Source organism: Homo sapiens, chromosome 19 (genome assembly GCF_000001405.40).
Source record: "Homo sapiens chromosome 19, GRCh38.p14 Primary Assembly".
In the NCBI taxonomy this organism is placed as follows: Eukaryota; Metazoa; Chordata; class Mammalia; order Primates; family Hominidae; genus Homo; species Homo sapiens.
In genome coordinates, this window is record NC_000019.10 from 54814518 (window position 1) to 54831076 (window position 16559).

At 47.5% G+C, this 16559-nt stretch overlaps 1 protein-coding gene across 1 annotated transcript; it reads left to right on the plus strand.

Annotated features, from left to right (window-relative positions):
• On the plus strand, nucleotides 1951–16261 carry KIR3DL1 (killer cell immunoglobulin like receptor, three Ig domains and long cytoplasmic tail 1). Its single transcript, NM_013289.4, has 9 exons — nucleotides 1951–2017; nucleotides 3017–3052; nucleotides 3798–4082; nucleotides 5196–5495; nucleotides 7048–7341; nucleotides 10511–10561; nucleotides 14844–14948; nucleotides 15411–15463; nucleotides 15582–16261. Exons 1-9 carry the CDS (start codon nucleotides 1984–1986, stop codon nucleotides 15756–15758), a joined length of 1335 nt encoding a protein of 444 aa, NP_037421.2. The 5' UTR covers nucleotides 1951–1983; the 3' UTR covers nucleotides 15759–16261.

Genomic DNA, 16559 nt, shown 5'->3' on the forward strand with positions numbered 1-16559 from the left:
TTCTTTAGGTGACTCTTTTTTTGGCTGAAAGTTTCCAGTGTTATCATTACCATGTCCAAATAACTCCAACTGTTCTCCACTGGGTTCTCACCCCTGGACTTGGAGCTTCTGGAAGCAGGGTGGAGCCTGATTTGTCTCTGAGACTCCAATTTCCATCCAAAGATGCAGCACATAAGAGGTTCCAAGGATCGTGAATCACATGAACAAGTGATATTCTTACTCTCTGCAGACCTGGAAAGCTGGCAGAGTCATTCCATGATGAAACATTTGTAGAGTCATAGGCCTTGTTAGTCTCATCTCCACGGGGACACATATCAACACATCATCTTTCATACTATAAATATACAGTCGGTCCTCTGTATCTGTGGGATTTACAGGTGTTTATTGAACCAAATATAAATCAAAAATATTCAGAGAAAAAATCCACAAAGTTTCAAAAAGCAAAACTATGTTGAATGGACACAAATGAAGCTGTGTGTAGGCTGTATCAGGAATTATAAATAATCAAGGGATGATTTCATGTACACAGGAGGATGTGCATGGGTTATTTGCAAATGCTGTGCCATTTCATGTAAGAGGCTTGAGCGTCTGCAGATTGTGCTATCTGAGTGGAGATCCTGAAACCAATCACCCACGAATAGTGAGGGATGACTGTATATAATTTTTATTTCTCAATTTTAAATATAAAACATAAAAAAATTACAATAACAAGATAAAATAAACAAGTGTTTTATAGTGTGAGAATACGTTTAGATATATTTTTCTCTATGTGTAACCCTTGGGCCCATGTTATTTATTGAGAAGACATTCTATTCCACCTTAAACCACATGGCAGCCTTTGTCAACTATAAAGGGACTGTGTGTACACGGATGTATTTTAGACACTGTTTTCTGCTCAGTGGCTCTCTCTCTGTCCACTCTCTTGAGAATGCTGCATTTTATGCAGCCTTATACAACCCCTAAAATTTGGTAGCTGGAGTCCTCTAGTTATTTATTATAGGCTATTTGCTATGCTTTTTTTATTTTTCTTGAGGCAGAGTCTCGCTCTGTTGCCCAGGCTGGAGTGCAGTGGCACGATCTCGGCTCACTGCAACTTCCGCCTCCCAGGTTCAAGGGATTCCGTGCCTCAGCCTCTTGAATAGCTGGCATTACAAGTGCCTGCTACCAGGCATGGCTAATTTTTGTATTTTTAGCAGAGACATGGTTTCACTATATTGGCCAGGCTGGTCTCAAACTCCTGACCTCGGTTGATCACTCACCTCGGCTTCCAAAGTGCTGGGGAAATTGATTTTCTATAGCATTATGTTACTGGATATTTCTGTAAAATTTAAAATGAGGGAGGCAGAGAGACAGAGAGAGAGCAAACCATGAGTTGGAACTCTGGAATCTTGGGACATGAGACAAATTCTAGATAAATCTACAAAAATCCAGAATTTACATGTTGTGATTTTTGCTGATAAAGTACAATTCTAAGATTGTAAATAATTGCATAATCCTTCCCTGGGAGTTTAAATCATTTGAACTGGTTCTGCTGTAATACTAGAAATACAATCATGAAAAATTCTAATGGTTTATTGTCACAATTGCTCTGAAAACCTTAATAATACCTATTAGATATTTTGCATATTACACAGGAAGAAGAGTTTGAATCTCAGATAAAAACAATAAAAATACATGAAAAGTCTTTCATGTTAGCACAGATTTTAGGCATCTCGTGTTCGGGAGGTTGGATCTGAGACGTGTTTTGAGTTGGTCATAGTGAAGGACGCGAGGTGTCAATTCTAGTGAGAGCAATTTCCAGGAAGCCATGTTCCGCTCTTGAGCGAGCACCCACTGGGCCTCATGCAAGGTAGAAAGAGCCTGCGTACGTCACCCTCCCATGATGTGGTCAACATGTAAACTGCATGGGCAGGGCGCCAAATAACATCCTGTGCGCTGCTGAGCTGAGCTGGGGCGCAGCCGCCTGTCTGCACCGGCAGCACCATGTCGCTCATGGTCGTCAGCATGGCGTGTGTTGGTGAGTCCTGGAAGGGAATCGAGGGAGGGAGTGCGGGGATGGAGATCTGGACCTGGAGGTAAAGATATGGGCCTAGAGGTGGAGTTATGGGCCTAGAGGTGGAGTTATGGGCCTGAAGTGGAGATCTGGGCCTGGAGTGGAGATCTGGGCCTGGAGTGGAGATAGGGGCCTGGGGTGGAGATATGTGCCTGGAGTGGAGATCTGGGCCTGGAGTGGAGATATGGGCCTGGGGTGGAGATATGTGCCTGGGGTGGAGAGATGGGCCTGGAGGGGAGATATGGGCCTGGAGGGGAGATGTGGGCCTAGAGGTGGAGTGATGGGCCTAGAAGTGGAGCGATGGGCCTGGAGTGGAGATATGGGCCTGGAGGTGGAGTTATGGGCCTGCAGTAGAGATATGGGCCTGAAGTGGAGATATGGGCCTGGAGTGGAGATATGGGCCTAGAGGTGGAGTTATGGGCCCGGAGGTGGAGTTAAGGGCATGAAGTGGAGATCTGGGCCTGGAGTGGAGATATGATCCTGGAGTGGAGATATGGGCCTGGGGTGGAGATACGGGCCTGGAGCAGACATACAAGCCTGGAAAGGAGATATGGGCCTGGAGAGGAGATAGAAGCCTGGAGTGGAAATATGGGCCTGGAGTGGAGATATGAGCCTGGAGTGGATATATGAGCCTGGAGTTGAGATAGGAGCCTGGAGTGGAGATATGGGCCTGGAGTGGACTTACCAGCCTGGAGAGGAGATATGGGCCTGGAGTGGAGATACGGACCTGGAGTGGAGATCTGGGCCTGTTGTGTAGATCTAGGCCTGGAGGTAGAGATCTGGGCCTGGAGGCTCAGTCTCTGCACAGCCGAGATCCTTGTTCCTGGGGGCAGGTAGGCAGCGAGGGTGAGTTTACCTTCAGCCCAGCAAGGGCCTGGCTGCCAAGACGCACAGCCCAGTGGGGGCAGCAGGGTGCCCTGGTTTGCCTGCAGAGGGATGGTCCATCATGATCTTTCTTTCTAGGGTTGTTCTTGGTCCAGAGGGCCGGTCCACACATGGGTGAGTCCTTCCCCAAACCTTAGGGTGTCATCTCCCCACATAAGAGGATTTTCCTGAAATGGGAGGGAAGTCCTGTCGGGGAGTCTCTCATACACTAGGAAGAGGGGACCCTCGGATGCTCGGCCCACATTTCTGACCTTGCCTTCCCCGGCCTTTCATTCCCTTTCCTGAGTCAAGCTCTGTGAAGACTGGGGTGAGACTAGGGTGCTCCAAGATGGGTGTGCAGGGAGGAAGTGGTGTCAGCAGCAGAGAAAGAGAGGGAAGCAGTGCTAGGAACAGCAGGTCCTCTGAGGACAAAGGTGTAACTCACACCCTCCAGCGTTTCCGTGATGGTAGGGGCTGCAGTGTGGCTGCGGTCTTTCTACCAGAAAAGGTGAGGAAACCACAGCCATGGCCCTGACATTCCAAATCCTCTGATGGGGGCTCAGTTCATCAATTGGCTGATATTCCATTCACATAGGACTTGCCCTCCATGCCGTGTCTACTTTGTGTTGTTTTATATGAGTAATTTTGCAGTATTAAAATCTAGTAAGAGTTGCTTCTCCAGCAACTTGCTCAAAGTTCTCAGCTGACACTTGTTGTAGGGAGACGCCAAGTCTATGCAGGATGGGTCCTTCCTGTAGCCCTGGGCACCCAGGTGTGGTAGGAGCCTTAGAAAGTGGAAATGGGGAGAATCTTCTGGGCACTGGGAGTGAGGGGCGGCTCCACATCCTCCTCTCTAAGGCAGTGCCTCCTTCTCCCCCAGGTGGTCAGGACAAACCCTTCCTGTCTGCCTGGCCCAGCGCTGTGGTGCCTCGAGGAGGACACGTGACTCTTCGGTGTCACTATCGTCATAGGTTTAACAATTTCATGCTATACAAAGAAGACAGAATCCACATTCCCATCTTCCATGGCAGAATATTCCAGGAGAGCTTCAACATGAGCCCTGTGACCACAGCACATGCAGGGAACTACACATGTCGGGGTTCACACCCACACTCCCCCACTGGGTGGTCGGCACCCAGCAACCCCGTGGTGATCATGGTCACAGGTCAGAGGCTTTCCGTCTGGGCTTCTCACTGTCCCACCTCCTGAATCCCAGAGCTTCTGGTGGGGGTGTCCGTCAGGGTCCCATCACCCAGGCCCTGACTGTATTTGGGGTCAAGGGAGATTGAATACAGGGGAAATGGGTGCTGTGGTGGGAAGAATCACTGTCCCCAATGATGGCTACATTGTAATCCCTGGAGCCTGTGACTATTTATGTTACAGGGCAGGGGACTGAAGGGGAAGGTGGAGCTCAGGTTGTTGATGAGTTGACCTTGAGATGGGGAGACAGCCTGGACTGTCCCACTGGGCTCAGTGTAATCACAAGGGTCCACATGAGAGGTGGAGGAAGAGGGGAGTGGGGATTAGAGCAGTGTAGTGGGAGGGAGACGCTATCAGCCACTGCGGGCTTTGAAGGTGGAGGAAGACCACTAGTCACAGAATGCAGGTGGCCTCTAAGGGCTGGAGAAGTCAAGAGAACTGATTCGCTGATTCTCCAGAGGGAACGCAGCCCTGTAGACACCTTGATTTCAGCACAGGGAGAACTGGATCCAATTTCTGTCTCCAGAAGTGGAAGGGGTCAGTGTGTTCTCTCCCGCTGCCATGTTTGTGGTAATTTTCTGCAGCAGCAACAGGAAACCAACACAGGAACCCAGGTCAAGGACAAGTTAGGAAACCAAACAAGGATAGCCAGATGTGGTGGTGGGCACGAGTAATCCAACGACTGGGGAGGCTGAGGCAAGAGAATCACTTGAACTGGGGATTTGTTCAAAAGAGATTGATTCAGGCTGCTAAGAGCCTGGACATGCAGCCTGTCCTCTTCCACCCCCACATAGACAGCAGGAAAGAGATTAGTGGGAAACAGATACAACAGCCCAAGAGATGAGGCTGTCTTCACAGTGGCAAGGGAGTCAGGGGCTACTGGAGACAGAGGGACAGAGAAGAGGGAGGAAGACAGATGGAGGCACCTGCACCAGGGGATATGGGCACAGAAAAGACACGGAGATGCAGAGAGGGAGGAGAGAGACAGACACGGGGAGGGGAACCCTCACTCATTCCAGGTGCCATGGATGGGATGATAAAGAGAGATGCCTTCTAAACTCACAACTTCTCTTTCTAGGAAACCACAGAAAACCTTCCCTCCTGGCCCACCCAGGTCCCCTGGTGAAATCAGGAGAGAGAGTCATCCTGCAATGTTGGTCAGATATCATGTTTGAGCACTTCTTTCTGCACAAAGAGGGGATCTCTAAGGACCCCTCACGCCTCGTTGGACAGATCCATGATGGGGTCTCCAAGGCCAATTTCTCCATCGGTCCCATGATGCTTGCCCTTGCAGGGACCTACAGATGCTACGGTTCTGTTACTCACACCCCCTATCAGTTGTCAGCTCCCAGTGATCCCCTGGACATCGTGGTCACAGGTGAGAGTGTCTAGACATTGTTCTCATTGTCACTGGGACACAGAGTGAATGATCCAGGACTTGGAACCCCCAGGTGGTCATGAGGAAGATAAGTGTGGGATTCTTATGGAAAGAGAGTGACTTGGTGAGGTCTGTACCAACAGAGACAGAGAAACAGGAGACATAAGTACAGAACAGGTGTCATAACAGAGGACAGACACAGGGGCCATACAGGGAGGTAGAAAAGAGAGAAAGAGGTAAAGGAGACACTCAGACAGACAGACATGTCCCAGAGAGAGGTGTCCTTCCATGCTGACTTTGCTCAGAGACCTGGCACAGGTTAGAAGTTTCATTTCTGTTTTACCTCCACAAAGTGTTCCTACCAGAAGAACCCAAGGACACCCATATTTCTGACCTGAGTTGGGCCCTGTGGCCTCAGGCCTTGTGCCACCTACAGATGCCGTGTTTATTCTGACACCTCTGCCTTCCATGCAATGGAGAGTAATCATCCCAGGATATCATGGCCCCTGAACACCAACCCCTGTATGCTGTGTGAACTTGGGGTCCCCAGACTGGATTCTGAGGCTCATATTCCAAATAATCCCACATATGATAGGATCGCTGAGAGACACAGAGAAAAATCAGGGACACCAAAAAGCAAAGACATAAACACACACAAAATGAGCCAGAAGAAGGAGATTAAGAGATTCACAGACACATAAAAAGAAAGAAAAGAGGGCAGAATGGAGAGAATGATGGAAAGGAGGAGAGAAAAGCCCCAAAATCAGAACCCTGAGGGAGGGACACAAAGACAGAGAAAGATAAATATGTGGGGATGGATTGCAGAGATTCCAAATAGAACTAGAGAGACTGAGAGGCAGAGAAAGACAAGGAGACGGAGAGAGAGAGATGATAGATGGATAGATAGACGTAGATAGATGATAAATAGGTAGATGATAGATAATGGATTGGTTATAGATACATAGATGATGACTGATAGATGATACATAGAGATGACGATGATGATGATAGACACATAGATATATACATAGATGATACATAAATAGAGACAGAGAGGCAGACAGAGAGGTAATAGAGAGAGAGATAGATGATACATATATAGATAATAGATGATTGATGGATAGATAGACAGACAGACAATTGATAGAGAGATAGATAAGTGATACATAAATATAGATGATAGATAATTTGTAGATAGACACAAAATAGATAAATAGATAGAAATGTGCAGAAAGTTATGAACAAGACAGAAAGTGAGAGACTCAAAATTAAAGAAAAAGGAAGATCAAGTCAACCAATCCAAGGAGGGTCAGAGAGAATAAAACAATCCAAAAAGGGAAAACATACCTCAGGGTGGGGAAGTGAGGTCATAGACCTAGAGAGACAGAAAAGGTAGAAGGAGGAAACAGATATGAAGAGAGATGGGGTGGAGGGTGAGAGAGAGAGAGAGAGCATTAGGTCATAGAGCAGGGGAGTGAGTTCTCAGCTCAGGTATGAGGGGAGCTATGACAAGGAAGAACCTCCCTGAGGAAACTGCCTCTTCTCCTTCCAGGTCCATATGAGAAACCTTCTCTCTCAGCCCAGCCGGGCCCCAAGGTTCAGGCAGGAGAGAGCGTGACCTTGTCCTGTAGCTCCCGGAGCTCCTATGACATGTACCATCTATCCAGGGAGGGGGGAGCCCATGAACGTAGGCTCCCTGCAGTGCGCAAGGTCAACAGAACATTCCAGGCAGATTTCCCTCTGGGCCCTGCCACCCACGGAGGGACCTACAGATGCTTCGGCTCTTTCCGTCACTCTCCCTACGAGTGGTCAGACCCGAGTGACCCACTGCTTGTTTCTGTCACAGGTGAGAAAAGCCCATATCTCTCTCATGTCCTATGATCCTAAATCCTTAGCTAAGGAGCTTCCTGCTGATGATGGAGAAAAGCATGGACAGATGCAGAGAGAAGACACAGCAGGTGTGAGGGCGGAGTCAGGGCGCAGGATGGCAGACAGGGCACCTCCAAACCCTCCTTCATGGCCTGCATGGAGGCCTCCGATCAGGGCTCCAGGCACCCAGGCAGATGGAGAAAGCGGTCAGGACAGACCCAGAGAAGGGGAGACTGGGCTTAGTTTGGGGAGATCAGAGGTTCCCTCAGCCCCTCAATCTTATCCATTTCCCAGAAGCCCATCATGGCCTCTCACCCACACAGAGAGATATCATCACCAGCAACCCCTACACCCTTTTCTTTTCATTTTCAAAAATATTTATTGAGGTTAAATGTAACTATATAATTTACCACCTTTACCATTTTTAAAAGTAAAATCTAGTGGTCATAAATACCTTTATATGCTGGGTGTGGTGGTTCACGGTTGTAATCTCGGCGCTTTGAGAGGCCAAGGAAGGTGGATCATTTAAGATCAGGAACTCGAGATCACCCTGGCCAACATGTGGGAAATTCATCTTTACTAAACAGACAAGAAAAATTAGCCGAGCATGCTGGCATGCACCTGTAGTCCTAGCTACTTGGGAGGCTGAGGCAGGAGAAGCACTTAAACCCAGGAGGCAGAGGTTGCACTGAGCCGAGATCATGCCACTGCACTGCAGCCTGGGAGACAGAGAGAGACTCTGTTTCTAAATAAATAAATACATCTATATTCTTTTTTTTGTTACCCTCCACCCTTCCCTTCCTGGCCTCTGGTGTCCACCATTGTATTCTCCACCTTCATGAGATCCACCTTTTATCTCCTGCATGTGGGTGAGAAATGGGAATCTTTGTAATGACCTCCAGTTCCATCCATGTGGCTGCAAATGACAGGATGTTATTGTTTCTATGGATGAGTAGTCTCCACTGTGTGTGTGTACCACAGTTCTCTATCCATTCACCCACTGATGGGCAGGTAGGTTGACTCCACATCTTGGCTACTGTGAACAGTGCTGGAACAGTCATATGAGTGCAGATATCACTTCGATACACTGATGTCCTTTCCTTTGGATATAAACCCAGTAGTGAAATTGCTGGACACTATGAAAGTTCTCTTTTTTTTTTTTTCTTTTTTGAGAAAGAGTTTCCCTCCTTAGTCCAAGCTGGAGTCTAAGTGGTGAGATCTTGGCTCATTGCAACCTGTGCCTCCTAGGTTCAAATGATTGTCCTGACTCAGCCTCCCTAGTAGCTGTGATTACAGGTGCACGCCACCATGCCTGGCTAATTTTTGTATTTTTTTAGCACAGACGGGATATCCCAATTTTGGGCAGGCTGCTCTCAAACTCCTGACCTCAAGTGAGGTGCCTGCCTCGGTTTCCCAAAGTGCTGAAGTTACAGGCATAAGCCACTATGCCCAGCCTCCTTTTAGTTTTTTAAAGAATTTCCATACTTTTCTCCATAATAGTTGTACTAATTTACATTCCTACCAACAGGGTACCAGGGTTCTCCTTTCTCTACCATCTTGCCAGCATTTGTTTTGCCTGTCTTGCAGTAAAAGCCATTTTACTTTACTTTATTTTATTTATTTATTTATGTTGAGATGGAGTTTCACTCATAGTCTCCCAGGCTGGAGTGCAAGGGTGTGATCTCAGCTCACTGCAACCTCCGCCTCCCGCGTTCAACTGATTCTCCTGCCTCAGCCTCCAAAGTAGCTGGGATTACAGGCATGTGCCACCACGCCTAGCTAATTTTTGTATGTTTAGTAGAGAGGGAGTTTCTCCATGATGGTCAGGCTGGTCTCCCGACCTCAGGTGATCCGCCCACCTCCGCCTCCTGAAGTGCCGGAATTACAGGCGTGAGCCACCGGCCTAAAAGGCATTTTAATGGGATGAGATGAAAACTCATCGCGATTGTAATTTACATTTCTCTGATGATGAGTGATGCCGAGTACTTTTTCATATACGTGATCGCCATTTCTATGTTTTGTTTGTGGAGAAATGTCTCCTCATGTCTTTTGCTCGTTTTTTAATTAAATTGTTTTATTGAGTTGTTTGAGCTTCTTATATTTCCAGTTATTAATCCCGTCTCAGATGAATAGTTTGCAAATATTTGCTCCTATTTTGTCGGTTGTCTCTTCACTTTCTTGGTTTATCTTTTGTGGTGCAGAAGTTGCTTGGTTTGATGTAATCCTAATGGTCTATTTTTTGCTTTGATTACTTGTGTTTTGAAGGTTTTAAACAAAATGTCTTTCGTCAGACAAATGTCTTCCCCATTATTTTCTTCTACATGTTTCATAGGTTCAGGCCTTAGACTCATGTTTTTAATCCATTTTCATTTGATTTTTGTGTATGGTGACAGGTATAGATGCAGTTTTATTCCTCTGCATGTAGATATCCAGTTTTCCCCACACCATTTATTGAAAAGACTGTCCTTTCCTGATTGTAAGTTCTCGGCACCTTTGTCAAAGTCCATTAAATGGGCTGGGTATGGTGGCTCACACCTGCAATTCCAGCACTTTGGGAGGCCGAGGCGGGTGGATCACCTGAAGCCAGGAGTTCAAGACCAGGCTGGCCAACAGAGTGAAACCTCGTCTCTACTAAAAATACAAAAATTAGCTGAGCATGGTGACCAGTGCCTGTAATACCACTACTCGGGTGTTTGAGGCAAGAGAATTGCTTGAATCCAGGAAGTGGAGGTTGCATTGAGCTGAGATTGCACCTCTGCACTCCAGCCTGCATGACAGAGCAAGATTCTATCACACACACACACAAAAAAAGCCATTGGATGTAAATGCATGGATTATATCTGTGTTCTCCATTCTGTTTCATTTTTTATGTGCCTTTCTTTATGCCAATGTCATGCTGTTTTGCTTACTACAGCTCTGTAACATATTTCTAAGTCAGGTAGTGTGATGCTCCTGTTTTCTCTTTATACCTTCAAGTCTCAAGACAGTGGGCATCGCACACAAAAATTATGGAGAAGAGGATCCCAAGACTCCCAGGGTCCAACATTAGATAACAGAGTGTTGGCCATGAACCAACCTCAAAGATTTCCATTGAGTAGAGGACAAGCACCCTCATTTCCTCACATCTCTCCTGTCCCATGTTCTAGGAAACCCTTCAAGTAGTTGGCCTTCACCCACAGAACCAAGCTCCAAATCTGGTGAGTAAAGGACCCCTCTTATCTCTGCTTTTGGAAACCTGGGGAGGTGGAAGCCTTGGATGCAAGTGTTGGCTCAAACCTCCCAGCTCTGTGAATGAGGGCCTGTCTTCCACCATCTCTGAACTCCAGACACTCCAACAGTGAAAGGGATCTAGGGCCACCAAAGGGCTCAGCGAAGTCTCTTAACCTTTAATGTCCTGCAGGTGAGACCTCCTACAAGCTAGAAGAATGATTGCCAATCTGACATCCTTCTCAGGAAACATGCAGTGTTTTTTCTTCCTGCATTCCTAACTGGAGGATAAATTCCTGGGGACTTGAGAGAGGGAAGGGAAGGGAACATCTGATGAGGGCGAGGTGTTTTAGAGAAGTTCCACTTGCCAAGGAATGAATTACTGTTGGTCATGAAGCAACCCTGGCTGACTCAGCAGAGCAAGAGCCTTGCCGTAACAGAGAACAGAGCTCATGCACGCACACTTCGACTCACTGACTCATTCAGCCACGGCCCCATGCTCAGGCTGTGCAGTTGGAATCCTTTCCTATTGTTGCCATAACAAATTTCCACAAGATTCGTGGGTGAAAACAAAACGGTTTTTTAATTATCTTACAGTGCTGTAGCTCAAAGTAGGAAGTGCATCTTACTGGGCTAAAATCAAGGTGACAGCAAGGCTGCCTTCCCTCTGAGGATTCCAGGCAAGAATCTGCTTCTCACTTGTCCCAGCTTCTAAAGGCTCCCAGTTCCTTGGCTCCTGGTCCCCTTCCTCCTTCCTCAAAGCCCACAAAGACTGGTCACATCTCACATGGCATCACTCAGACCCTTCTTCCTTACCACACCTCTTTCTCTGAATGCTGCTCTCCCTTCTTCCTTATCTTTTGAAAACTTGGGGATTCTATTGGGTTCACCAAGATGAAAATCCATCATAATCTCCCGGAAATCATTCAGGATACCCTTGTTTTAAGTTCAGCTGACTAGCAACCGTAATTCCATCTGCAATCTTCATTCCTTCTTTCCATGTAAAATAAGATATTCACAAGCTATGGAGGCCAGGACAGGGACATTTTGGGGTGGGACAGCATTCTCCTGCCTTCCACGAACGGTGAACAAGATGCATTTGGCCTCTGCTCTTGGGACACTGATATTGCAGATGGTTAAATGGGAGGACAGAAAATGAGTGCACAAGTGGACCAATAAATGAATGATCCATTGGGAAGCATCTGTGCATGAAATCTATTTGTTTGTTCGTTCATTTATTTATTGAGACAGAGTCTCCCTCTGTCTTCCAGGCTACAGTGCAGTGTCACGATCTTGGCTCACTGCAACCTGCGTCTCCTGGATCCAAGTGATTCTCCTGCCTCACCCTCTCGAGTAGCTGGGATTACAGGCAACTGCCACCATGCCCGGCTAATTCTTTTTGTATATTTTTTGTAGAGAGGATGTTTCACCATGTTGGCCAAGCTTGTCTGAAACTCCCAACCTCAAGTGATCCGACCATCTCAGCAACCCAAAGTACTGGGATTACAGGCGTGAGCCACTTTGCCCAGCCAGAATTCAAAATAAATAATAGATAATGCTGAGTGTATAATTTTGGGTGACAGAGAAGGTCTCACTAATCAGATATTTGTGACATTAATGAAAAACACGGATTGAACCCCTGAAAGATTGGCGGAAGGATTTTCCACACACAGCTGTCAGCCGTGAAGGCAGAAAGCTGAAAACAATCTGATGTGGAAGGAAGAGGCTCTGCCTGAAATGCTGGGAATGAGGTGGGGAGAATGACAAGACGACTGTGGAGAGACGGAGAGCACACTGGGTACACAGGAAACTAAGGAGCAACAAGGAGTGTGTGTTTGACACTCACAGCCATTGGATTCACCTCGGGGTAGCCAGGAATCCCTACATGATTAATAGTGACTGACATGAAAATAAGGGAGGCCCAGGTGCGTAACTGGAATCTAGGAGACAGTGGAAAAGGCAATTGCCGCCCCACTGGTGAAATGTGGTGCTGATTTAGACCCTAAGTGGATGAAGCAGATGGATATAAGCTATGTTTGGGAGGTAGAATCATTTGCAGGGAGGGCTTGCTGGGTTTGAGTTTCCTAGTTGTTTAATCCTTGCTAAATTAATTTCTTTCTGAGATTTATTCCTCCTACACATAAATCAATACCTGGCAAAGGAGTGACAGATATATGAGGGGTGGTGGAAATGAAGGGACCTATTATAGCATAGTATACAAGTCTGTGAACGGTGGCTCACTCCTGTAACCCAGCACTGCAGGAGGCTAAGGCCAGTGGATTCCAAGAAGTCAGGAGTTCGAGACCAGCCTGGCCAACATGGAGAAACCCTATCTCTACATGGTGAAACCCTATCTCTCCTAAAAATACAAAAATTAGCCGAGCATGGTGGTGCATCCCTGTAATCCCAGCTCCTGCTCTGGAGGATGAAGCAGGAGAATGACTTCAACCCAGGAGGTGGAGGTTGCAGTGAGTGGAGATCGCATCACTGCACTCCAGCCTGGGTGACACAAGGAGACTCCATCTCAAAAAATAAAAATAAGAAATGCATAAATATAATAAAACACACACGAATGACAAAGGCACCTGAATTCCCATCATCATTTTTCTATTTCTCTATAATTACTTCTTTGATCCTTTATCTTATCCATTAGGCAATCAGCCTAAAACCTCTTCCGTATTTGGCTTTCTGTGAGCATGAGATCATATAGAAAATGTGAAAGCCCGCTGAATCCTCCAGCACAAATCCTGGAATAGAGAAAGTGCTCTGGTCATCACAAAAAAAACTTGCCCCCTCACCCAAATCCCCCATCTCACCCCTACTTCCAATCACCTGTGGAAATACAGATAGATCATGGGGAGGTAAATGCTAATACTCCTTGGAGTGAGTCCAGATCTTGGAATCAGAGATCAGTGCCAGCACTAGCTCCTGCTCCCCTTTCCTACTAATTCACAGGAGGACAGGTGGTATTGAAGCAATAGATAGTCGAGGGGGTGGTCCTTCCCCCAGCCTCTGAGGTAGAACAGCAGCCTAACATGTGTCTCCCGAGATCACAAAGAGTAGCACATTTCACACGGGCTTCAACACTATTTTCTGGCTGTTTGACATAAGAGAATTCTACTTCGCTTTTTTTATATTGATTTCACTTTTGTTTCCTTTTCTTGGAGAATGCAAGTTGTTTAACTCAAGAATGCCGTGGATGTAGAAATCCTAAAGCACATTCGCTGTGTATCAATCCCAGTCCAGTCTTCCCAGAGAAGACTCTAAACACCTCCTGGACTGCACCTGGGCCTATGCCAATTCCTATCACTCACCGTCACTCCAGGGAGACAGAACACACAGAGAATACGTTACATAGGCAGGTTCATTACTAACAGATAAGCAGCGAGTGACAACAGAAGCCTACATTTCAATGTGAGCCAGTTCCCCAAGGCTCAGAAAAGCTGCTCGAGACATGTGGAGTCACCCCATTTGCAGTGTAGCTGGGGGAAGCCAGAAAGCAGCCCAGCCTGGGTTTTGTACCCTGGAGCCACAGGAAGCACTCAGCTAAAGCACTGCATGACGTCCTCCTCCAGGAAGAACAGGAAGACAGCCCAGGCTGTTCTGGGACAATCCTCCTGATCTCAGGACTTTGCTGTCTTAGTCCATTTTTGTTGCTCTAAAGGAACACTTGAGCCTGGGTAACTTCTAAAGAAGAGATTGGTTTGCCTCACCGTTCTGCAGGCTGTACTGGAAGCATGGCACCAGCATCTATTTCTTATGATGGCCTCAGGCCGCTCCCACTCTGGCAGAAGGGAAGGAGGGTCTGTCTGTGCAGAGACCACAGAGATCACACGGCAAGAGAGGGAGCAAGGGGGAGGGGGAGCAATGGAGCTTCCAAGCTCTTTTTAACAACCAGCTCTCCAGGAACTAATAGAGAGGGAACTTGCTAACCCCGTCTCCTTGGGACAGCATTGATCTGTTCATGATGGATCCACCTCCATGACCCAAACACCTCCCAAGAGGCCCAACCTCCCACACTGGGGGTTAAATTTCAATGTGAGGTTTGAAGGGGTCAAACATCTCAACTAAAGTAGTTGTATCCTCAGCACGTTCCATGGTTACTATGAGAGCTATAACTGAGAAAGCAGGAGGAAGCTAGATCTCCCGCCATCTGGGTGCTTGTCCGAAAGAGATGCTGTAAGTGGTTACCTGTCAATCAAGAAATGCAAGACAATTCATATAGAGAAACTGCTATGATTAGCTTCTTACTGGTGTCTCCTCTTCTTCCAGGTAACCCCAGACACCTGCACATTCTGATTGGGACCTCAGTGGTCATCATCCTCTTCATCCTCCTCCTCTTCTTTCTCCTTCATCTCTGGTGCTCCAACAAAAAAAGTAAGTCTCACGGGGCACAGGCCAGAGAGCTCAGGGCCATGTGGGGAAGCAGGATGGGAGCACACAGCTGTGTGTTCCTCACTGGCAGGATGGTCCCTGGCCCAAGACAGGAGCCACAGAGGCAGGACTTTCTAGAGAGAGCACCAGACTCCCTGCCCCTGCCTTCAGCTCACAGACCGTTGCCTGATTCTGAACTGTATCCTCATGTCCCCTGCAGCCACTCACATCCAGGAGAAGGTTCCATGACAGGCAGAAAGTGGGAGACAGAATCAATGGGATGGGAACTCAGAGCTATTCATGGGATGGGTCCTTGAGCTCAGAGAGATAGAATGTCTGAGTCTGCTGTTGGCAACTGAGGGACCTCAGGCACCTATGGCCTCCCCCTGTTTGTTGGTATCTGCTTATGAAATGAGGACCCAGAAGTGCCCTCCGAGCTCTTTTGTTGACTTCCGTCTCCTACAGATGCTGCTGTAATGGACCAAGAGCCTGCAGGGAACAGAACAGCCAACAGCGAGGTAGGTGCTCCTCGGCCCAGCCTCGTGGCTAGTGTTATTCCCAAACAGTCCTGGAAAACGTGAGCACCCTCCCTCACTCAGCATTTCCCTCCCTCACTCAGCATTTCCCTCTCTCCAGGACTCTGATGAACAAGACCCTGAGGAGGTGACATACGCACAGTTGGATCACTGCGTTTTCACACAGAGAAAAATCACTCGCCCTTCTCAGAGGCCCAAGACACCCCCTACAGATACCATCTTGTACACGGAACTTCCAAATGCTAAGCCCAGATCCAAAGTTGTCTCCTGCCCATGAGCACCACAGTCAGGCCTTGAGGACGTCTTCTAGGGAGACAACAGCCCTGTCTCAAAACCGAGTTGCCAGCTCCCATGTACCAGCAGCTGGAATCTGAAGGCGTGAGTCTTCATCTTAGGGCATCGCTCCTCCTCACGCCACAAATCTGGTGCCTCTCTCTTGCTTACAAATGTCTAGGTCCCCACTGCCTGCTGGAAAGAAAACACACTCCTTTGCTTAGCCCACAGTTCTCCATTTCACTTGACCCCTGCCCACCTCTCCAACCTAACTGGCTTACTTCCTAGTCTACTTGAGGCTGCAATCACACTGAGGAACTCACAATTCCAAACATACAAGAGGCTCCCTCTTGACGTGGCACTTACCCACGTGCTGTTCCACCTTCCCTCATGCTGTTTCACCTTTCTTCGGACTATTTTCCAGCCTTCTGTCAGCAGTGAAACTTATAAAATTTTTTGTGATTTCAATGTAGCTGTCTCCTCTTCAAATAAACATGTCTGCCCTCATTGCTTCAGGTAATGTGACACTGTATTCGCTGAAAGAAACCGCTGTTATCATTACCATGTCCACATAACCCCATCTGTTCTCCGCTGGGTTCTCACCCCTGGACTCTGAGCTTCTGGAAGCAGGGTGGAGCCTCATTTGTCTCTGGGACTCCAATTTCCATCCAAAGATGCAGCACATAGGAGGTTCCAAGGATCGTGAATCACATGAACAAGTGATATTCTTACTCTCTGCAACCTGGAAAGCTGGCAGAGTCATTCCACGATGAAACATTTGTAGAGTCATAAGCCTTGCTAGTCT

Coding starts and splice junctions, on each gene's coding strand:
- KIR3DL1 (NM_013289.4), top strand. CDS start 1,984: ATGTCGCTCATGGTCGTCAGCATGGCGTGTGTTG. Junction 2,018..3,016: donor CGTCAGCATGGCGTGTGTTG/GTGAGTCCTGGA, acceptor CTTTCTTTCTAG/GGTTGTTCTTGGTCCAGAGG. Junction 7,342..10,510: donor ACTGCTTGTTTCTGTCACAG/GTGAGAAAAGCC, acceptor CCCATGTTCTAG/GAAACCCTTCAAGTAGTTGG.